The sequence below is a fragment of the Homo sapiens genome, chromosome 2, assembly GCF_000001405.40.
Source record: "Homo sapiens chromosome 2, GRCh38.p14 Primary Assembly".
NCBI classification, from domain to species: domain Eukaryota; kingdom Metazoa; phylum Chordata; class Mammalia; order Primates; family Hominidae; genus Homo; species Homo sapiens.
Window position 1 is genome coordinate 90,020,811 of NC_000002.12, and position 23,246 is coordinate 90,044,056.

Below are 23,246 nucleotides of genomic sequence, written 5' to 3' on the forward strand. Positions count from 1 at the left end.
ACTCAAACTTACTACAGAATATTTTCTTTCTCAGAGTTTATTCATAAAAGACAGCCTTCCAAGTTAGCTGATAAATGGGATGGTATAGTAAACCCAAGTGCAAAATGCATTGTCAACACTCTAGGATGGCTTAACCAGTAATGTGCTTCATTGCTAGTGGTTGGAAGTACAAGGTGCAATTATTTTTCCTTACTTTGGAGGGGATAAGCCAGCATGACTCATACCCCTTTTATAAACACTTGACATCTTCTCTAATGTGACAAGCCCTTGATGTTTTGGGGCGTGCATCCCACCCTCTAGAGCACATGTGTTTTCACAAGAAATTCAGAGTTCTTACAATGTCCAGCTCATCACGTCTAATTACCATGATGTCATCAATATAGTGTTGATGCTTTGTGGAACGTTCACAAAGCTTTTTCAGCCTACATTGTGACAGAGAGCAGGAGAGTTAACATAGCCCTGGGACGAGACTGAGGATGTGAGCTGTTATTCACCCCAGATAACTGCAGACTCTCCCAGAGATGGCGATGGACTCTGCCTTCACTCTGCAGCTGTGCCCTGGGGTCTGGTCAAGCCCTGCCAGAGCCTCAGCGGAGCTCGTCTGCAGGTGCCAGCAGAGGGCGCTTCACACCCCTCATGGAAGGGGCCGGGAGGGCGCTCTCCTGGCAACAGTGATTTCTGTTTATTTAAACCAGCAGGACATCCCCATAATTTGCATGTATCGTTCCTCCTATATGTGAAGAGGCCCTGCCTCTCGGTATCTTAAAAGAGGTTCTTTCTCTGGGATGTGGCATGAGCAAAACTGACAAGTCAAGGCAGGAAGATGTCGCCATCACAACTCATTGGGTTTCTGCTGCTCTGGGTTCCAGGTGAGAATATTTCCACAAACCTAGGCGGAGATATTCTTTCAATCTGTAATTTCTTTCATTGGGGACTCTGCAATAGGTGATTTTTGGCTTGATTTTAAAATCCTAATTTTAAAAATGTAATGCATATTCTTTCTTCATGTCTAGCAAGATTAAAGGTGATTTTCATACACAGATATTTATGTTGTACTGATGTTTGCTGTATATTTTCAGCCTCCAGGGGTGAAATTGTGCTGACTCAGTCTCCAGACTTTCAGTCTGTGACTCCAAAGGAGAAAGTCACCATCACCTGCCGGGCCAGTCAGAGCATTGGTAGTAGCTTACACTGGTACCAGCAGAAACCAGATCAGTCTCCAAAGCTCCTCATCAAGTATGCTTCCCAGTCCATCTCAGGGGTCCCCTCGAGGTTCAGTGGCAGTGGATCTGGGACAGATTTCACCCTCACCATCAATAGCCTGGAAGCTGAAGATGCTGCAGCGTATTACTGTCATCAGAGTAGTAGTTTACCTCACACTGTGTTACAACCCAGAACAAAAACTAGTTCAGCCTGGCTGAACGGAGAAACTGGGTGATACCCTAGAATACTTCTGATTGTTGCAGGTGCTTTGGGGGCAATGAGTTAACCAATACAATGAAGTCTGGCTCACCCAGCAGAGAGGAAACTAGAGTCACTGCTGCATACTTTCATCTTTTTAAAAATGATTTATTTCAATAGTTTTTGGGGGTATAGGTGGTTTTTATTTACATGGATAAGTTCTTTAGTGGTGATGTCTGAGATTTTGGTGGACCTGTTACTTGAGCAGTGCATACTGTGCCCAATATGTTGTCTTCTAGCCTTCACCTCCCCTTCTATCCTTCCTCCCCAGTCCCCAAAGTCCATTATATCATTCTTACGCCTTTGCATCCTCATAGCTTAGCTCCCACTTACAGATGAAAACATATAGGTTTTCCATTCCTGAGTTACTTCATTTAGAATAATAGCCTCCAGCTTCATCCATGTTGCTGCAAAGGTCATTATTTTGTTCTGTTCTGTTTTATGGCTGAGAAGTATTTCGTGGTGTATATACACCACATTTTCTTTATCCACCCGTTGCTTGATTGGCACTTATGGTGGTTCCATATTTTTGAAATGGAGAAATGTGCTGGACTAAACATGCATGTGCATGTTTCTTTTTCCTATACTAACTTTTTTTTTCTTTGGGTAGATAAGAAAAATAAGTACTGGAATTGCTGAACTGAATGGTATTTCTACTTTTAGTTCTTTAAGGAATCTCCATACTGTTTTTCATAGTGGTTGTATTAGTTTACATTCCCACCAGCTGTGTAAAAGTGTTCCCTCTTCACCACATCCATGCCAATATCTATTATTTTTTGACATTTTAATTATGGCCATTCTTGCATGAGTAAGGTGGTATTTCAAGGCTATGGTTACCAAAACAGCATGGTTCTAGTATAAAAATAGGCACATAGATCAATGGAACACAATAGAGAACACAGAAATAAACCCAAATGCTTATAACCAACTGATCTTCAACAAAGCATACAATAACAAACAGTGGGGAAAGGACACCCTATTCAATAATTGGTACTGGAAAAACTGGCAAGCCACAGGTAGAAGAATAAAACTGGATCTTCATATCTCACCTTATACGAAAATCAGCTCAAGATGAATCAAAGGCTTAAATCTAAGAACTGAAACCATATAAATTCTAGAAGATAACATTGGAAAAACTCCTCTAGACCTTGGCTTAGTGAAAGAATTCATGACTAAGACCCCAAAAGGAAATGCCACAAAAACAAAAAATAAATAAATGGAACCTAACTAAGCTAAAAAGCTTCTACATAGCAAACAGACAACCCACAAAGTGGGAGAAAATATTCACAAACTGTGCATCTGTTGAAGGAATAACCAGAATCTATGAGGAACTCAAACAAATCAGTAAGAAAAAAACAAATAATCCCACCAAAAAGTGGGCAAAGAATATGAACAGACAATTCTCAAAAGAAGATATACAAACCGCCAACAAATACATAGAAAAATGCTCCACATCACTAATTATCAGGAAAATGCAAATTAAGACCATAATGACATACTTTCGTCTTTACCCATATTTACTTTCAAACTACATGGACAGTTGTTGAAGGTCACCTCTCCCTTTTCTTTCCATAAACTATCTTTTACAAGTTGGTAAAAACTTTAGATTTCTCTTCAGAGCTACAGTTTCTCATTTATAGCAAAAGAGTTTAAAAGGGTAAAGATTAGGAAACAAGCAGGTGATGGCCTAGAGCTATAGTGACAGAAGATCCCATGGATTGAGGTTTCAGTTATTGTGGGTTCACGGGTGTGACAAATTAATTCTATTTCCAAAGCAGCCCCCTGAAGCATGATGTTTGTTAAGTCAGATTAACGTTAAGGTTCACTTTCACCAGTGCGGCATTCAACTGAGAATTCAGGAAATGCTGAATATTTGGGTTGCGATTTCTGAAAACTGGTCCACGGAAAATGTAACTATAGACATTTCTCTTGGGATTTTGAAAAGGAGACTTTTCCAAAAAGAACATTTACCTGGAATAAAAAACCAGAAGGATCCAGAGCCCTTTGTTGCCAGTCTAGGGAGCAGGACAAGATTCCAGGCCCAAGGAAGTTGAAATTAAGAATCCTCGATTCCCTAATAAGAATAACTTCACCAAAAGTTGAGTGTACCAAGGCACTAACATGTCAGAGAAAATAGTCTGGGAGCTCAGATGAGGTGGAAAACTCAATGGGCATTTTATGTTATATCTTGCCCTGACATATGAAATACAGGGGGGCAACCCTCCACCCTGAGAGTAAATATTCTTTTCTGTGTATCAGAGGTATTGTTTATGTCCTCTTTCATCCACCTCCAAAATCCAAACTGCAGTTTGAATTTTCTTTTTTTAAAAAAAAAATTTCACCATTCTTGATTATAGGACCAGTATCCTGCTCCTAGAATTTTTTAATACCAAGAGCAACTCAGCTTATTTGTTTTACTTTGTTTCCTGTGCACATTAAGTCACTCATTCAAAAATAATTTTTGGCATACAATGTAGTCATTGAGAAAACAGACATATCAGATTTGGTGATATTTTTGTGAGTGACTTTCACCGTATTTGGTCACAAAAAGTTATATCGGTTTTCAATACATTTTTTATCACATATATTTTACACCAAAGTGCAATGATCTACTACAAGAAATTGTATTTCTACATTATGGTATCAGGCAGACAGTCACCAGTTCTTTCACAGGGTAGTTTCAAGTTGCAGACCCTCATGTAGAGAAACTCAAATTGTGTGCCATGATTGGTTAAACCCAAATGGCAAGAAAAGGTGAGGAAGAGGTAACATTTTGTGAGATACTTTTGTTTGAATGTCTGTGAGCTGTTTGTATGTGTTTAGAAACATGCTGTTTCCAACCCGTATTCCACTCATGCTATGACTATTCCCAAAGCTTCCCCATCAGGACTTTCCTCTTGCATCAAAACCCATGGAAAAAGGAATTACTCATAGTCATGTCTGGTCCTGATATTGGATGCTTGCCTGAGGTCACTCATCACACCCTCCCCCACCTTCCAGGGACAGACACCCTGACCCTCTCCATCAAGCCCCTCCCACTGTGAGGGCCTTTCTTCTGCCTACTGGACATCTTACATGAAAATCGAGTTTATCTAATTTCAAGATGATGCTTGTTACTCCTATATATGTGTTTCTTTCATGTCCAGTGGATCTTTTTCAACTATAAAAGTAGTTAATTGTCTTTAGCTGAGGGGAAGCCATGATATCTTCTTCAATAAAAAATAAACATATTTTTGCATTTAATGGATTTTAACATAATATCGGAGTTTTCAGGAACAATTCAAAGCCATCATGTGAGGGTTAGGAGCATTTGAGTAAATAAGACAATTTTTGATCCCAAGTACTGATATTCAGTAGGGAAATGAGCCATTCAGAGAACAATACCTACACAGTGAAAGTGAAAAGAATCATTTCAATAGCTGATAAATTGTATAAAATTCAGGCAGTGGCATGTGGTATCTGGAGGCCGAGACCATTTATTTGTGCGGACCAGGGAAGGTCTCGGGGTCATACTGGAGATGCTTCTGAACGGTGAGGAGGCAGCCAAGTGACCATAGGAACAGCAAAGACCATAGGATCATCACGAGAAGGGCAGGGACTGGGAGATTTCAGGTAAACCATTGTGCATTGAAAAAGCCAACCAGTACCATAATAATAAGATGTCTTCTGTGATTTTATTCCTTTAAGGAGAAAATTTATACTAATATCTTTCATCAAACACCTTGACCTGGGTCACACCCATAACATGAAATGTTCCCTGGCTCAGAAGCTGGAAGTTCAGTTTTGCATCCCTGTTGTAAGTCTGCAGGCTCCACAAAGCCCCTCCCTGCCACTCAAGCCCTTATCAGTGGGTTGGTTGCTGCCTTTAGGGTGGGATCACCTGAGGCAGAGGAAGCACTGGACCTGGGGCTCTGGCCCTTGGGTCCTGGCATCAGCTATGGGAGCTCCATGTGACAGGGTTCTTATGTCCCGTGCTGAGATACAGACCATCGCTCAGCAAGCCCAGCATTCATCTCCCGCTTGATCAGCCAACACGAGTCTCTGGGAGGCCTGTAGAGTGAGACATCATTAACACTGGGGAAGAGTTGTGTTTTGTTTCCACCTCAGATTCCAGTGGCAACATTGTGGGCCCCAGATTCCAGCTTCTCCCTCAGTATCTCCAAGACAGAGAGAGAGTTTCCATCACCAGCCTAGAAGCAGATGAATCCAGGGAAGGTTTCAAAGATCCACCCATGTGCTTTGTCTACATTGGCCATGGTCCACCCCTGCTTGGCACGGTGGTCCTGGGGCAGACACTTCCTTAACTTTCAGCAGCTCGGGTACCCTGATGACATTGCTGATTATTATTGTCTGAAACTGTATCCTCTCACCTGGTAAACACTTGCAGTGCCCAGCCACAAATAATGTGAATTAGAATTAAAAATTAAAAACATGTTTTCTCAGTTACACTAGCTACATTTCAAGTGTTCAGTAGCCACATATGACTAATGGCTACCCTATTGTACAGCATAAATGTAGACATTTTTATTGTCTTAGAAAATTATTTTGCTTAAAACCGCTCTAAATGTTGACAAGTGTTCCCTCATTGTGTTATAGCTCAGAGCATAAATCTCACCAGCCGTTAGTCTGGAAAACTGGGAGTCCTCAGAAGCTCTCCAGCTGGTGCAACCACTGTGGTCCTCAGATCTGCTCTGGAAGAGTTTCCAGAATAACGGGAATGAGCCTGGGCTGACAGATCCATAAAAGAGGACCTTGGATTTCCTCTCCAGCCCCTGCCATTATGCCCGGCAGGGTCTCTCACACCCCTTTTTCTCTCTTCCAAAACTACATTTTCAGCATTTCACATGGATTTCAGAACCTAATTCCTAATCGTTTTGTGAGCAACATCTTTTCTGGATATCCCTTGTCCTCAACTTTGGGACTGGTTTATCAAGGAGAGGTGTCATTCTGTGTTCCTTATAGGATCTGGCCTACTGATGGATGTAATAGGATCTGCTTCATCATTACCCATGAAAAGACTCACCGTCAAGATTGACTGGGACTCAGCATCTAAAATCCTATAAGATGCTATGTCACCAACCAGCCATTAGATGGCAGACAAACCCCACAGTAAACACCAGAAATAAGCCTGATCTTAGAAATACTAGGAAAATCAACAGGGATATTTTAGGGCTAAAATGAGGTCTCATTTATGACCTAGATTACATGGGAGGAGCTGCCAGTGCACTGAGTTGTGGGAAACTCCCTCTGTGCTCTGTGCTCTGAGACTGGAAGCCCAGCCTTTTCCTCCCCACCGCGTTGGCTGTATCCCCAAACCCTACCTGATGTGGGCTGAATCCAGGCAGAGGGGAGGCTGCCAATGGTCCCTGGAATGGTTTCTCCCTGTTACCACACAGCCACTGGGCCATGTGTGCTACTCTGTCTCACAAAGGCCACCAGGGGAGGACCTGCCCACCCTGAGCTCTGGGGACAAAAGTCCCTCCAGTTGGGGTCTAGACCCACTGCCCATCTCCCCAGCACCTGCTGCTCTGTGATTCCCCAGACCCCCGTCAGGACAGTCAGTGTCCTTAGCAATGGGCAGGGAGGTACTGCTCAGCCCAGAATGGATGTAGGTTTGGTCCTGAGCTTCCTGACCCTCAGGCTGTGTAGTGATGAAGGGGCCATGGGGTGGTGCAACCATTGCTGGTTTTAAATGTTTGTGCTCAATTTATCAAAGTTTAAAAATCATATCTTACACTGACAATTAAAGTTATATCTATTAACATATAAGTGTGCATATTATACTTATTCCTAATATAGATGCACAGTATATCCAAATGTATAAATATAATTTATATCTAAAATATTATATGTATATTTAATATGTAAGGGTTACATTACAAATATATACCTATGCATGTAATTTTATGTTTGTTAATTACTTATATCTAAAATATTATATGTATATTTAATTTGTAAGGGTTACATTGCAAATATATACCTATGCACGTAATTTTAAGTTTGTTTATTTAGCATGTGTTCTTTTTCTTTCTAACCAGAACAGAGCCTGGCTGAGTAAAGACTCTGGGGACATTTGCTGTTCCTCCTTCTTTGACTCCAGCAGGGCCCCAGCCATGCAGAATCAGTGAGGACAGAGCTGAGAGCAGCCAGCTCCAGGAGCTCAGGCCCAGCCCTAAGGGTCGTGTATCTGAGACTTTCACACTGGCAGTGGACTCTATGCTTGGTGCAGCGCCCATAGAAGTATGAGCAGTTTCCTTCCCTGAAACCCTGCCAGGCAGCTCTGTGGGCAGGACCTTTGGTTCCTCCCAAGTCCTCAGCCCCATGGCTCAAGAGAGCAGCTACTTCCTCCACAGCCCAGGGCCAGAGCCCAGCAGTCTCAAGTTGTGCAAGCTTCACCTTAGTCCTGGGTTGAGGACCCTATTCCAAATCTCTCCTCATTTATTCCCATAACTGAAAGCCTGTCCTGGTCTTAAATGCACAGGCCACATTTACGCAATTCTTAAAGCTAAAGATGTCGTATGAGAAATCAGAAATTTGATTTCATTTTCATCCTCAGAGCCTGGCTTCTTCCAGCTGTATCAGATCGAAGTGTTCATACGTTCTCCTCCCTATACAACTTAACTTAGAAGCACAGCGAAATTTAAAATGTGACAAAGCTCTTGGCAGCTATGCAGCAGTCATCCCCTTCTTCCTTTGGTGTATAGGGCACCAACTATGTCTTGCCGTACATGGTGAGGGTGGTGAGTTTCTCCCAGCTCAGGATGGGAGCAGGGATTAAGGGCACATGTGATCAGCTCCAAAATGATAATGTCAGAGGAGTGGGCAGGGATCATGGGAAAATGGTTATACCTCAGAAAAGGACAGAAAGTGAAGAGCTTTGCTTTGCATTTCTTCCTGTAACAGTTAAGAGAGGATATGATGCTTAGAGCTGCCGCAATCCTCTTGAGACCATGGGGCATTTACAACAAGAATGAAAAGCCAGTGATAATGCAGGTGCAAAGCAAAAATGTAGTAACAATCTGGGGCCTTTCAGCTGTCACCAAGCTGTTGTACCAACCTTAAGTGCTTCAACCTTCAGACTTCTTGTCATTACTTAAACCATTACTATTATTTCTTTGACTTGTTTCTAAAATTATTCCAACTTATCTATAAAAGACACTTAAGAGAAAGATCCTGGCTGGGCCACAGACTGTGCTTCAGAAGAAGAAACATATTATCAGAAGTGTGTGTGTTTGTAAGAGTCTGAGGCATGAAGGGCAGGAAACATGATAAGTGATATTCTCCCTGGCACCTTCGTCCTGCTATGCCCATGGCAAGAGAAACCCAAACAATGCCAAAGAGTTCCTCAATTCTGCTCTTTCATTATCTCCATTTCTCCTTTTATATCCTAAGCATGAAACATCCCTTTGTTCTCCTTAATTCCTCCCTTTTCCAAGGTCATGAATTGTTGTCAAGAAAGAGACAGGAACCGTTTGAAAAGATAAAACCTGGTGATACTGTGCATTTCCTCAACACCAACATGGTTCTGCAAGTTTCCTCCCTTCTCAGTGGTTTTCTTATGGGAAGTTGCTGGCTGCCTCAGCCAGGTCTCTGTCAGAGGTTGCATTTGGAGCGTTTACTAAGCAAAGCTTCCAGGTAGTTAGTGCTGGATTCCCAGGAGAGTAGCAGGATGGTGGGTCTGTATTCCCAGCATGCAGGAGGCCAGAATGAGACCTGGGGGAAGGCTGTGGGTGTGGGAAGAATGGATTTAGAACTCAGACCTGTAGCCACGGCCTTTGGAACCCAATAGTGTACACTAAACAGATGGAGCTCAGGGGAAATCTGGTTTAAAGGTGTTATAGTCATTTGTCATCTTGTTTATGTTTCTAGTGCTACACAGGAATGGATTTATGGAAGTTTTTATTGTGGAAATAATGTACATGAAACCCCATTGCCTATAGTGAGTCACATGTTAGTTGTAGAATAACTATTAAAGAATTTGATTTGAAAATGACATATGGTTAATAATATCTTCCATAGCCTCTTTTTCTAAGATACTCAAGGGTGCATTTAAAGAAAACTGGGTATATAAAATGTGCATATAATGTGTGTGTGTGTATGTTTATGGGCACACATATACACTCTTCAGGGTGCATCATTTGGTTAAACTCTCACAATACCCCATGACTTCCAAAGTGCTCCATTTCACATATGAGAGAACCAGCTATGAGAGCTCATGACTGGTTTGCCAAAAGTCACATGGTCAGCAAATGCCCAAAGTCACATGGTCAGACTTGGGATTGAAGCCCAGGTCTGTCTGGCTTTAGTATGTTCCTTCTACGTGGCCACTTTCATCCCATGGTTGAGCCCAAAGCCTATAAATAGGAAGAAGGGACCATAAAAACAGTGTGGAATCCACAGCTCCCTGCTGCCTCTGTCTCATGCCAGGCTGGCCCTAATCTTAAACTAGCCCCTTCTGTGGTTTTCTCTTCAAAATATAACCCTCTCGAAGTCTTTAAAACTTGTAAATGACTTTGCTTTATATTTTGGAGTAGGAACACATCTTGCTTTCCCCTGACCCTGTTCACATCTTCTCTTTCCCTTCCAGTCTCTCTAAGTCTTTCCTTCTCAGATTCCAATCTCTCTAAGTTTTTCCTTGTCAGGTTGTGTTCTAACTTTCCTGCCAAACATGAAAACAAACACACAAACAAACAAACCCTCCGCTTTCTATCAGGTGCTATGAGACCTGATCCCTTAACTCTCCAACACACATTGGAAAAGAGCTAATCAAAGGGTTTACTCTAGACATTTTCTACCTAAGAAGAATCCTGGTACAAGTTCTCATAGAAAATGGTTTACATCTCTTGTCAAAACTGGCACCAGATTATAACAACATGGAATGTTTGGGAGAACAGAGGACACCACACACTCAGAGATGTAAAAGACATTTTTCCCCTTGCATTAGTTTCCAATTGCTACTGGTTAAATTGCCACAATATTTCTGGCTTCTAACAAATTTATTATCTTATGGTTCTGGAGATGAGAAGTCTAACTGAGCTAATATCAAGGAGACATAGGGCTCTATTCCTTCTAGAGGCTCTAGGAGAGAGAATCTGATTCTTTCCTTTTTAATCTTCAAGATGCCTAGGCCGGGTGTAGTGGCTCACGCCTGTAACCCCAGCACTTTAGGAGGCCGAGGCGGGCGGATCATGAGGTCAGGAGATCGAGACCATCCTGGCTAACGCGGTGAAACCCCATCTCTACTAAAAATATAAAAAATTAGCCAGGCGTTGTGGTGGGCACCTGTAGTCCCAGCTACTTGGGAGGCTGAGGCAGGAGAATGGTGTAAACCCGGGAGGCGGAGCTTGCAGTGAGCCCAGATTGCGCCACTGCACTCCAGCCTGGGCGACAGAGTGAGACTCTGTCTCAAAAAAAAAAAAAAAAAAAAAAAAAAAAAAAAGATGCCTCAACATTCCTGGCTCCATGACCCATTTTTCCATCACTCCAGTATCCCTCTCCATTGTCCCAGCTCCTATCTAACTGCGACCCTCCTCCCTCCCAATTATAAGGACCTTCGTGATTATATTGATCTCATCTGGATGATCTAGGAGTTTCTCCCAAACTCAAAATCCTTAATCCTTAAGTAAGTTGCATCCACTAAGTTTTGGGATTTTTTTTTTTTTTTTTTTTTTTTTGCTACGTAAGTTAGAATTCATAGGTTCTAGGTACTAGGACATGGACGGGATGTGGGCATTCTTCATTTCGCCCACAATTAATATCTTCCCCACAATTGTCCTTCTCTAAGGTAGAATTAAAAATCAGAGGGCATATTTATGAAGCAAGAGAGCTAGAAAAAATCTTAGATTCAGGGCCCTCAAATCTTTGGGTTTTAAATGCTGGGGGACACTTATTCCACTGCCTCTAATGTGGACTTCACAATGTGTAGCTAGTTTTAGAGGCTCCTTTAATTTACTAACCCAGAAAAAATTCATTGCACAAAGACAATCTAAAATAGATTGGTAAAGGGAAATTAATTGCTTCCTGACCATTCCTGAATTAGGGTTCTCTAGAGGGAAAGGGCTAATAGGATAGATGTATAAATGAGAGGGAGTTTATTAAGGAATGTTGACTCACACAGTCACAAGGTGAAGTCCCACAATAGGCTGTCTGCAAGCTGAGGAGGAAGGAAACCAGTTTGAGTCTCAAAACCTCAAAAGTAGGGAAGCCGACAGTGCAGCCTTTAGTTTGTGGCTGAAGGCTGACAATACCCTGGCAAGCCACCAGCGTAAGTCCAAGAGTCCAAAAGCTGAAGAACTTGGAGTCTGATGTTTGAGGGCAGGAAGCATCCAGCATGGGAGAAAGATGAAGGTCAGAAGACTTAGCCAGCCTAGTCCTTCCACATTCCTCTGCCTGCTTTCTGCTTTTATCCTAGCTGCACTGGCAGCTGATTAGATGGTGCCCACCCAGATTGAGGGTGGGTCTGCCTTTCCCAGACCACTGACTCAAATGTTAATCTCCTTTGGCAACACCTTCACAGACACACCCAGGAACAATACTTTGCCTCTTTCAATCCAATCAACTTGACACTCAATATTAACCATCTCCAGTGAAGACTGATGAAGAGCCAATAAACACAGAAAAAGATGCTCCACATCACTAATTCTTAGGGCAATGAAAACAAAATCCACCTTATACCTCTTAGGATGGTTTCCCTCAACAGAAAATGAAAACTGTTCATGAGAATTTGGAGAAATTGGAAATCTTGTGGACACTGTTTTGGGGATGTAAAATGGTCACCTAGTATAAGAAACTACATTGCAATTCCTCAATAAATTAAAAATAGAAATACTATATAATTCAGCAATTCCACCGTTGGACATATATCCAAATAACTGACAACATTAACTTGAAGAAATATTTATATACCCACATTCAGAGAATTATTGTTCATAATAGCCAAAAGGTGGAATCAACTCAAATGTTCATGCAGGGAAGGGTGGATAAACAAAATGTGGCATATAAATATATATGCAATGGAATGTTATTCAACTTTCCAAAGGAAGGAAATTCTGACACAGGCTCCCACATAGATGAACAGTGAAGGCACTATGCTCAGCAAAATCAGCAAGCCACAGGACTAATGAGGTGTCATCCCACTATAGTATTTGCAGCACAGTCTCCAGTTGGCCTTGGACCAACCCAGTCTCCTCCCTTTTCTCACTCTTAGTTTTCAAGAATCACTGTAGAATATCCTGGGAATGTAACATCCTGAGATAGGGCAGTATTGGCCACCACAGCACAGGCTCTGTTCCAATCCCCTTGTGCCGAGTTCTGGCTGCATGTTCTCATGGCCCAATAACTAGAAGCAGACAAACTAAGAAAGAAGGGAATTTAACTGGATACAGGAAGAAGGTCAGAGATAATATCACCAGACCAACTCCAAGTGTTATAATTTTCCTTCCCTTCCTTCCCTCCCTTCCTTCCTTCCTTCCTTCCTTCCTTCCTTCCTTCCTTCCTTCCTTCCTTCCTTCCGTCTTTCTTTCTTTCTTTCTTTCTTTCTTTCTTTCTTTCTTTCTTTCTTTCTTTCTTTTCTTTCTTTCTTTTCTTTTCTTTCTTTCTTTCTTTCTTTCTTTCTTTCTTTCTTTCTTTCTTTCTTTCTTTCTTTCTCTCTCTCTCTTTCCTTCTCTGATGGAGTCTCACTCTGTTGCCCAGGTTGGAGTGCAGTGGCATGATCTCAGCTCACTGCAACCTCTGCCTCCCAGGTTCAAGCGATTCTCCTACCTCAGTCTCCTGAGTAGCTGGGGCTACAGGCGCCCACCACCACACCTGGCTAATTTTTGTAGTTTTAGTAGAGGCGGGGTTTCAGCATGTTGGCCAGGCTGAAAGTGTTACCATTTTCTTAGTGCTTATATAGGTTGGCATTATGTGCCTATGTGCAATATAACATTTGCCTAAGTCTATAGGCAACTAATTTTGTTTCAACTAGGTCAGAGGCCAAAGAAATGCTAAGTCCGATTAAGCTGTGAGGGTCCCAGTACCTTCAAGACCTGTCTCCTAAATTCTAATCAGTGAGGACTGTGGTACCGGAGTGATTATTTCTATCTTATCTCATTTACAGCTTGGTCCAGAGAGCTGCCTTAGACTCTCCAGTGAATCTATTCAAACAGCTGCCTCTGTTACCTTGACTCATCTCATTTTATTGACCCAAGACGGGTCCTGGCACTAGGAATGTAAGGCTGTCTCCATTATTTTGACTTGCTTGAGGTTAGGGAGAAGCCTGTGCAAGCCTCCCACTGACCTATGTTTTACTTCTAGCTTTGATGCCTGGGAACCGATTCCCCTAGGTTTAATTATTTGCTCAGTGTTAAGGCAGTGCTGTGGAAATTTGTTGGTATAACTGGACTGCTACACAGGCCTGTCTGTGTGACTGTCATGCAGACCTGTCTGTCCAATTGACAGGGAGTATTGTCCTGCCACACCCTCTTGAAACAGGATTTCCTTCAACACTTTAGCTCAGCATGATATGTGACTCCAAGATATAAAACCCAGGGTGGGTCCAATCAAGAGTGCCTCAGCTGCAGTGTATATGAAGCACAGTCTAGACCCCATTAGCCCCAGGCAGCTTTCCTGAGCCTTGGGGGAACAGACCTACAATAAATTCTTGGATTTTGCTATCCCTTGCTGCCTGTCTGTAAATTGTAAATTGCTTCACATAACTAGTTGTGTAAGGGTGTTTTATCTCCCTGGACTCAAATAAGTTGGTAATCACTGCACAGTTAACCTGCTTAACAAAATTGCCCCATTGAGAAGATTCTAGTATGACAGAACCATGGCTTATTGGTGAAGTGGGAAGAATGATACCTCCCATTACTTGGCCAGGGGAGGACCATTAGACTGGAAGGTGCAAGGCCTGGACATGCATCTGGGTGCTTTATGGGGAATGAGGGAGGATCAGTGGGTTATAGATCACTCTCTCCATGAGTTTAGATGAGCTGGCTGCCTGAATTAAGGCAGAGAGAAAGGAGTGTAGAAATGAGAATGAGGCACAAAATCCTCTGGTTCGTAGACACTTACATGATTGCTCATTCCTGGAGCCAGAGAGCTAGGGAAACGGGTACTCAAATGGACCCTAAGATCCCTGAGAGGGAACCAACATATGCTATTTGGGCTTTCACACAAAGGGAGACTCACTCTCTAAATAAGAGATACAGAAAAAGTTCAGGGAAGGCCTATGCAGACTGTTTGGTGTATTTGTTTGATAAAGCAATATTTGCAGTTCCAAATTTCTTGATCTAAATATCACAGTTAGGGATACAGCCAATGCCTTTGGGTGCTCACCAGAAACCAGTGGCCCTAGACCATGTAAAAATAAAAGGAGAAAATAAGGAAATACTTTTCTGGGTTTTTGGGTGCCAGAGCCCATAGGTCTCCATTGGGGAAAATTTAACCAATGACATTGAGAGGTTCAGGGACAAATGCAGTGGCCATGGTGCTTCTCTGCTTGTGGATGGTGCCCTGCGGGCCATGTTGGGGCTGGTGACTGTAGTTCCCACCTCAGAGTGCAGTACAGGCATTGATATTTGCACCACAGAACATCACTGCTGCATAAAAGGTATATTCCCTTGCAGCTAAGAATTCAAGCCTTAACAAAAGGGAATATCCACTGAAGCCTACCACCTAAGCTACGCATGACTCCGTGGGTTATTTGACAAAAACAGTACTGTGTACTAAGTGAAGAATAAGACATTACCTGTTTTTTTCAAGACTTGCTACAAACAGATTAAAATGTTACATAGTCCCCTGTCACCATGGAGCAACTCAGTTTGGCGGGGCAAAAAGACTTTAGGGGAACAGAGACTAACAATGGACTATTTCACGTTGAATGCTAAGGCCACTTGGACAGGAAACCAAGGAAGGATCGCGGATATAGTTAAACATTGTTGGTACTAGCAGCAACCATTAATAAAAAGGACAACAGCTGGTAGGCTTCTTTGAGTATTGGAAACAGCATAAACCTCTCTGGGGTGGGCTTTTAGTCCACTTAGTCAAAATCAAAATCACAAACAAAACCACCAACCTTGAACAGAGCCCTTTGCAACAGCAGCCTTGGAAGAAGTTCAACAGGACATGGTCCAAACACTTCTTTTAGACCTTTAGAGCCTGTTAGCCTGATGGAAGTTCAGGTGTCCACAGTCTCTATGTATGCTGACTGGAGTATGTGGCAACAGAAAATTGTCACTGAGTGAGCCAGCCTCTCAGATACTGAACACATAAACCAGCTGAAGCAGCCACCAGATGTCCCTCTTTGGCAAGGCAACTCCTTGCTTGCTATTGGAAACTGACAGGGACTGGACAGCTTGGGGCTGAGCACCAAGTGTGGCGCTGCTGGGTGAACTGCTCCTTTTCACTTGGGTGCAAAAATCCAACCAGTGAAACTGGACAGGCTCAATAGAGCTGCATTATCAAATGGAAATGGTATATTCAGAATCAGGCCCAGCCAGCAACCCGTGGGATCTGAAGGCTCCATAAACAAATGGCGAGCTTGCTAGAAGGGACTAAATGACCCATGGGGGATGGTTTGGCTCTGCTTTTGGCTACCCGAAGTCCAAGATTCAGAGACATGCCGACATCGGTATGGCATGGTTCACTTAGGGCTCTGCAAAACATGCAGACTGGGGGTGGCTACCATCTAGCCAGTGGATGACTATTTTCTTTCCTGAGACTGATGATGGTCATTCCACCCAATGGTCCAAACTACATGCAGTGGTAATGGTCATGCAGGCCTTTCTGCCACCTCTTGCTATATTTTTACCAACTCATGGGCCACTGCCAACAGTCTAGCTATCTGATCAGGAAAATAGTAACCGAGTGACTGGACTATTAAAGCATCCCCTCTGTGGAGAAAAGGACTATGGCAACAGCTTGCCACCTGTAAGAGACAAATATGTCACTCAGCTGGATGCTGGGACTACCATGACCACCCTTGAGATGAACTTATGCCATGTTTTTGGATGCCCACTGAGACTTTGCTTTGACCAAGGAAAGTTCTTTACTGCCCAAATGATGTCAATGGACACACTCTCATGGGACGTGATGGACTTTCCATACACCTTGTTATCCAAAGGCCAATGGATCTATTTAATGCTAGAACAGCTGACTCACACAGCAACTGAAGAGTGTACATCAGGACAACCTGCTAATAGAGTGGTACCCCATCTGACCACAGCAAATGGACATTAAACACTGCACTGCAGAGCAAGGGAAAGACGGCACGGAGGTGCAGGTTGAAAAACACTGAGTTGAGTGAGGAAGAAGTTGGGCAAGGCCAGTTTCCTGATAGAGCTGCCACTGTGAAATCCCAAACTCAGGGTTTCCAATCATTTTTTTCCTTTTATAGTGATGTTCTTGGGGGTGTTGCAGTTTAGGCCACCATGATAACCCAGACAGGCCTCCTAACTCTAATTGGATGGAATGATTCCCCTGGGTGCCTTCTGTGGGTTCCACAGGATCAAGAAATATCAGGGTGTTAATTTCCTTCTACTGGTACGGGGGTCATCTGATTCCTCCATTAGGGTGGATGACGTTATCAGACATGTCAAGTTTCTACAGTACTTGACCTCCCTTCTAGAACTGGACAACCGAGGGTGAAAGGACTGGGTCAAGCAACAATGGCAATGGGTGCCCAAAGAGGTAGTAGTCTCAGAACAGGGACAGACAGACTGAGTCCCTCCACTAACTCAAACCAACCCCTGTGGATGAGTAGGGGATCCCTGAGATCCTGGGGTGGATGGGAGGTGGGGCACTGATCTGTCAATCTGTTTTTTCTTCAAGGATCAGGCAGCAGAGACCCAGAAGCTTCATGTCTTTGTAAGGCTCTTCCAAGCCACCACAGATAATTTGACAAAACACTGTATCTGCATCCCAGACCTCACCCTGTCACGGACTGAAGTGGTTGTTTCATCCTACTAAGGGTAAACCATACCAGCTATACAGGATAAAAAGACTGGATAGATTAGAGGATCACCCAAGGAATAGTTCTTTGCCTGCATGGACAAAACCATCTTCTGTCTTTAGGGAAATGGTATCACTACCCTGAGGATTTGGAGCCCAGGTATCACTTATCTGTGCAGTTGTGAAAGTCCTCACACTCACAGTGCTGAGGTTAATTGAATGTTACTCTTTTAATTTCTGCAAAGAATGAGACAGCCTCTGGACCCTCAGGAAAGATTGCTAACAAGTAAATACAAGTATATCCGGAAGATAAAGTAGTAATAGACTCTTCCTTTCAACCTGATCCATCATGCATTTAGGGAACTGACTGGGCACAAGTTGGAGCAGAAAGAGAAAAATGAAACCACAGCCTTCTATTTTGTTTCTAACAGACTTGTACCAAACATTCTGTGGCTGAATCTAAGTGATGGTGAGACAAGAGGACACAGGGGTTAAATTCTGTGGCCGCAGGGGAGAAGTTCTACCCTCAGGCTGAGCCAACGGCCTTTTCTGGCCTGATCACCTGGGCATGGGCTGCTGAGTGCAGAGAGGGGAGGCAGATGGTCTCTGAAGCTGGAAGCCCAGCACCCGCCCCCCCAGCTGCTTTGCATGTCCCTCCCAGCCGCCCTGCAGTCCAGAGCCCATATCAATGCCTGGGTCAGAGCTCTGGGGAGGAACTGCTCAGTTAGGACCCAGAGGGAACCATGGAAACCCCAGCGCAGCTTCTCTTCCTCCTGCTACTCTGGCTCCCAGGTGAGGGGAACATGGGATGGTTTTGCATGTCAGTGAAAACCCTCTCAAGTCCTGTTACCTGGCAACTCTGCTGAATCAATACAATAATTAAAGCTCAATATAAAGCAATAATTCTGGCTCTTCTGGGAAGACAGTGGGTTTGATTTAGATTACATGGGTGACTTTTCTATTTTATTTCCAATCTCAGATACCACCGGAGAAATTGTGTTGACGCAGTCTCCAGCCACCCTGTCTTTGTCTCCAGGGGAAAGAGCCACCCTCTCCTGCGGGGCCAGTCAGAGTGTTAGCAGCAGCTACTTAGCCTGGTACCAGCAGAAACCTGGCCTGGCGCCCAGGCTCCTCATCTATGATGCATCCAGCAGGGCCACTGGCATCCCAGACAGGTTCAGTGGCAGTGGGTCTGGGACAGACTTCACTCTCACCATCAGCAGACTGGAGCCTGAAGATTTTGCAGTGTATTACTGTCAGCAGTATGGTAGCTCACCTCCCACAGTGATTCAGCTTGAAACAAAAACCTCTGCAAGACCTTCATTGTTTACTAGATTATACCAGCTGCTTCCTTTACAGATAGCTGCTGCAATGACAACTCAATTTTAGCATCTCTTCTCTGCTTGGGCATTTTGGGGATCTTAAAAAAGTAATCCCTTGATATATTTAGACTCTGATTCCTGCATTATTCCTCAGACCAAGATGGACAGCCAGGTTTAAAGCACAGTTTCACAGTAATGGCCACTGGATCAGATTTACGTCAGTGGATGTCAATAAAGGTCCCAACCAGAGCCATAAGGCAACAACAATAGCAACAAATAATCAAAATTGGAAAAGAAGAATTAAAGCTGTCATAATTCACTGATGAAGGATTGTGTGCAGATAAAATTCAAATTTGTCTACAGAGAAACTATTAAAATTGACATGAGAAATAGAAAATCGTTAGATTCAAGATCAATTTATTAATTCGTAGATTCAAAAATCAATTTCATTTCTGCATAATGAAAAAAATGCTAAAAATTAACATTATAAAACAAACACACCTTTTACAAAAACATCAAAGTATCAATTATTTAAAAAAAATAGACTAAATACACTGACGTCTCCAGAATATTATTTTGAAAAATAAAAGAAAACCTAAGTAAATAGAAATTCAGTTCAAAGACTGAATGTCTCAGTACTATAAAAATGTCAATTCTTCGAAGATTAAAATATTGATTACATATAAGAAAAATCAAAATCCTAAAGTATACTCCAATTTAAATTAAGAAGCTAATCTAAATATTATATGGGAATGTCAAGGATGTAGAATGGCCACAGTGAACCTGAAGAAACACCAAAATGAGAACTTACAGTGCCTGAATACCTGGAATATAGTGTGGGTGACAGTATGGTGATGGTGAGATCAGAAGATTAAAAATTTGCGAACGTGCTTATTTTTGGAAATAATTACTATGCAGATGTAGCCAAACCCTCTTCAACTGTGCCGCCAGAATCTCAGATTTCCAGAATTAGTTTCTCACAGTGTGATTCTTAACATGGCATCAATAATTCTCAGTCTCCCCAGTAAACGCAGCTCAGTGCATGGTGCAGCTATCCATTTGACTTCTACAAATATTTTAAATGGTAGAAAATTATATTTATTTATCCAACTAATTGACTCAGTAACAGCTGTTCATTTGCAGAGAGGTACTCTGTTTTAATAAATAACAAAACTAAGAAAGTTAGTGAATGACCAAGTAGGAAGAGTGATAGGAACAGCTGTCTTAGCTTTGTCAAAGGCTTCCTTCCAAAAGGGATTTCACTGGTCACTTTCATTTATCACCACCAATAATTTATTATAACTTATTGTAATGTGGTTTATTGAATATTATATGAAAGTGAAAAACAGAGTAGTTGTACCAGTACTGGAAGCACTGTTTCTACTGAATACAAATAATTTTCACACTATTGTAAAGTCAAAACATCTTAAGTGCAACCACCATGAATTAGGGACTTACTGTAAGTTCAGGGAAGTAACTATAAAGAAACTCACAAATTTTAAGAAAAATAGAATATATTCCTGATAGAGGTACAGGAATATATTGTCTAAAATATACAGTTTTCCATTAAAAAATCCTGCAAAGAAACAGAAAAGTATGATCAATATTGAGGGAACAAAACAAAACAACTGCAGCAAGAAAGCACAGTCAATGAAAGCTAATTCTGACTCGTCCTGAATATCAGCTTTAGCAAAGACTACAAAGCAATTATTATATAGATTTTTAAATAATTATTCTTAAAACTATGATCATATAGTTTTAAAGATATAAAGAGGAAAATATAAAGACAATGACTCAGCAAATGGAAACTCTTAAAAAATAGAAACTATGGAAAAGAATCAAGTGAGAATTCTAGAAACAAAAAGTACAATAACTCAACTGAAAAATATATTAGATAAGTCCAACATCAGTTTAAGATGGCAAAAGATTCAGTGAACTTAAAAATAGATGTACAGAAATTATTGAATCTAAATAAAGAAAGGAGTTTAAGAAAAAATGCGCAAGACTTGACAGAATTACAGCTCAGGTTGAAAGATACCAACAAGTGTGTAAAGCGAGTCACAAAAAAGCAGAGAGAGAGAAAGTGATCAAAAAATACTTGGAATAGTAATGACAACAGCTTTTCAAAAATAATGAACCACAAAGGTAATTTAATCTATAGATGAAAGAAACTCAATGAAACGCTTTCAGGATATAATACAAGATTAATAACAAAATACATTATACTTAAAAATGTTGAAAGACAAAGAGAAATTTGTGAATGTGTCAGGACTAAAAGCTGACTCTACATATGGAGACACAACAATAATGCCATTGGCTAAGTTTTCATTAGGACCGAGGGAGGCTGGAAGAGATTGGAATGAGATATTTAAATACTAAAAGGAAATGAAAGAGGACAACCAGCAATTTTGTTTCTGGTGAAAATATTCTTCAGAACTAAAAATATTCCTTGATAAACAGAATAAATTCATTAATAGCAGCTCTGCCTTATAAGAAATTCAAGAGGAAATCTTTCAGAATCACAGAAGATTACAGCAGGTGGGATTTTGAGCCCATAGTCTATAATGAAGGACTCGAAAGTAGTAAACAATAAGAATAAAGCTAGAAAAAAACACACAATTCAATTTATATGACATTAAAGACATAAAAACCCAAATTACTGTGTTCGATGTCAGAATGACAATTACCTTGGTTGAGATGGGGAAGCAGTTACTGAAGAGGAAGGTGCATGGAGGAAGCATCAGCAGAAGGTAAATATTCTGTAGTTCCATCTGGCCAATGAATACACAAAAACTTTATTCAGTTACAATTTGAAGATGTGTGCCCTTTGTGCCCTCTGGGTGTTTTATCACTTAAAATAATACGTAAAAATACCAAATAGAATAGAAAATATTTATGAAAACTCAGCCTATTAAAGACCAATGTAAAATATGCCTGGGAAAGGGAAAAATAATTAGAAACCTCTTAGAGAAACAGAAGGACATTAAAAAATATGTCCCTTCGGCCGGGCGCGGTGGCTCACACCTGTAATCAATCCCAGCACTTTGGGAAGCCGAGGCGGGGGGCATCATGAGGCTTAAGATCCAGGTCTGGAAGCTCGTAAAATGCTAAATTATGTAAAACACAATAAGCCAAGGATGCAGGTTGTAGTTCTCTGGGGTACTCAATTATAATAAAATAATACAGAACTAAAAAACAAATTAGGATAAAATAAATCAACACTGTAAACAAAATATGTTGTTCCAAATATGATTGAATTTTTAGATAAAAGATTGTAAGTAAATAAATGAAATCGCATACACAAAAATAAAATCAAAAGACAACTAAAAACAAGGAGAAACTATTCTTAATATATTAAACAAATAAACTGTTACTGTTCTAATATGAAACAACTCTATTAAAAGTTAAGATAATGGATCAAAAATCCAATAGAAAAAAGAAGAAAAGAGAACAGACAATGCATTATAAAAGATATATACATATAGCATTTAAACACAAGTAAAGTGTGTAATCTCAATAATGAGGGAAATGCAAATTGAAACTACTTTGAGGTAGTATTATCTGGTTTAAGAAAATCCAAAAAATATTAACCATATTTTTAGGCAAGGTTATAGGGAAACAGGATTTCTCATTAACAGCTGTGAGGATGGAAACTAATACTACCTTTTTAAGAAGGAGAATATGACAACATCTACAAAACTATCTTAATGTGTAACTTTGACCCATAATCCCATTCCTAGGAATCTCTGAAGATACACCTTCAACACTACAAAAATACATATACACAAGGTTATTCATTGGAACATTAATTGTAATGATTTGTAAAATGTTGACACCACCCAGAATATTCATAAATAAATATTTTGTTGAAATAGCTATGGAACATTCATGCAATGGAGTATGTATCAGCTGTCAAAAGGAAGAAGGTATCTATGAATTGAAAGGAAGTTATTTCTCAGATATACAAAAAAGCAAAGTGCCAACAAATATCTATACCGTGTTACCTTCCAAGTAAGAAAGCAGAGGAGATTTAAAAACAAACAGAACCGTAAACGAAAACAACAAATTTGAGAGGATAGACAGAGTGAGGCTGGCAGGGAGTGATAAGAGGAAGGGGCTGGTAACAGGGTGAAGGGATGAGATGAGAGTGGTACAGAAGGGGTGGAAGGCGAGACGTCTCTGAGCTTACCTTTTTGTTTTTGTGAATTTATGTCTTTGGAGACTCTATTTATACTACAAATATTTGAAAATAATTGAAATCAAGAAAGATGAGAGTATCCAAATGGGCTACAAACAAGAGTAAATGAAACTAAAGGTATTACAAATGAATTAAAAAATAACAAGGTGGTGGATATGGGAAGAAAGGACTAATATAACTATTGTTGGGACCCAGTATTTTGACTATTTCCACTAAAGCTAAAGACAGAAATATCTGTGATTCAATATTTTACTGGACTTCGTAGCTCCAATTTTTACAGGGGTATAGTTATGCATGTGCACACATATTTATCTTTATTTATTCCAGGCAATGGC

At 41.2% G+C, this 23,246-nt stretch overlaps 2 gene segments (V, D, J or C) and 1 further gene, besides 4 other annotated features; all 3 read left to right on the plus strand.

The window, feature by feature from the left end:
- Window positions 1–23,246, plus strand: part of IGK (immunoglobulin kappa locus) — a 1,378,008-nt gene that overhangs the window by 1,163,450 nt on the left and 191,312 nt on the right.
- Window positions 824–869: a sequence feature (IGKV6D-21 leader sequence).
- IGKV6D-21 (immunoglobulin kappa variable 6D-21 (non-functional)) lies at window positions 824–1,375 on the plus strand. The segment is given in 2 exon segments: window positions 824–869; window positions 1,080–1,375. Coding segments are annotated over 2 exon segments (342 nt in total), but the record flags the coding sequence as incomplete, so codon positions are not given.
- Window positions 1,080–1,090: a sequence feature (IGKV6D-21 leader sequence).
- Window positions 18,135–18,183: a sequence feature (IGKV3D-20 leader sequence).
- IGKV3D-20 (immunoglobulin kappa variable 3D-20) lies at window positions 18,135–18,669 on the plus strand. The segment is given in 2 exon segments: window positions 18,135–18,183; window positions 18,371–18,669. Coding segments are annotated over 2 exon segments (348 nt in total).
- Window positions 18,371–18,381: a sequence feature (IGKV3D-20 leader sequence).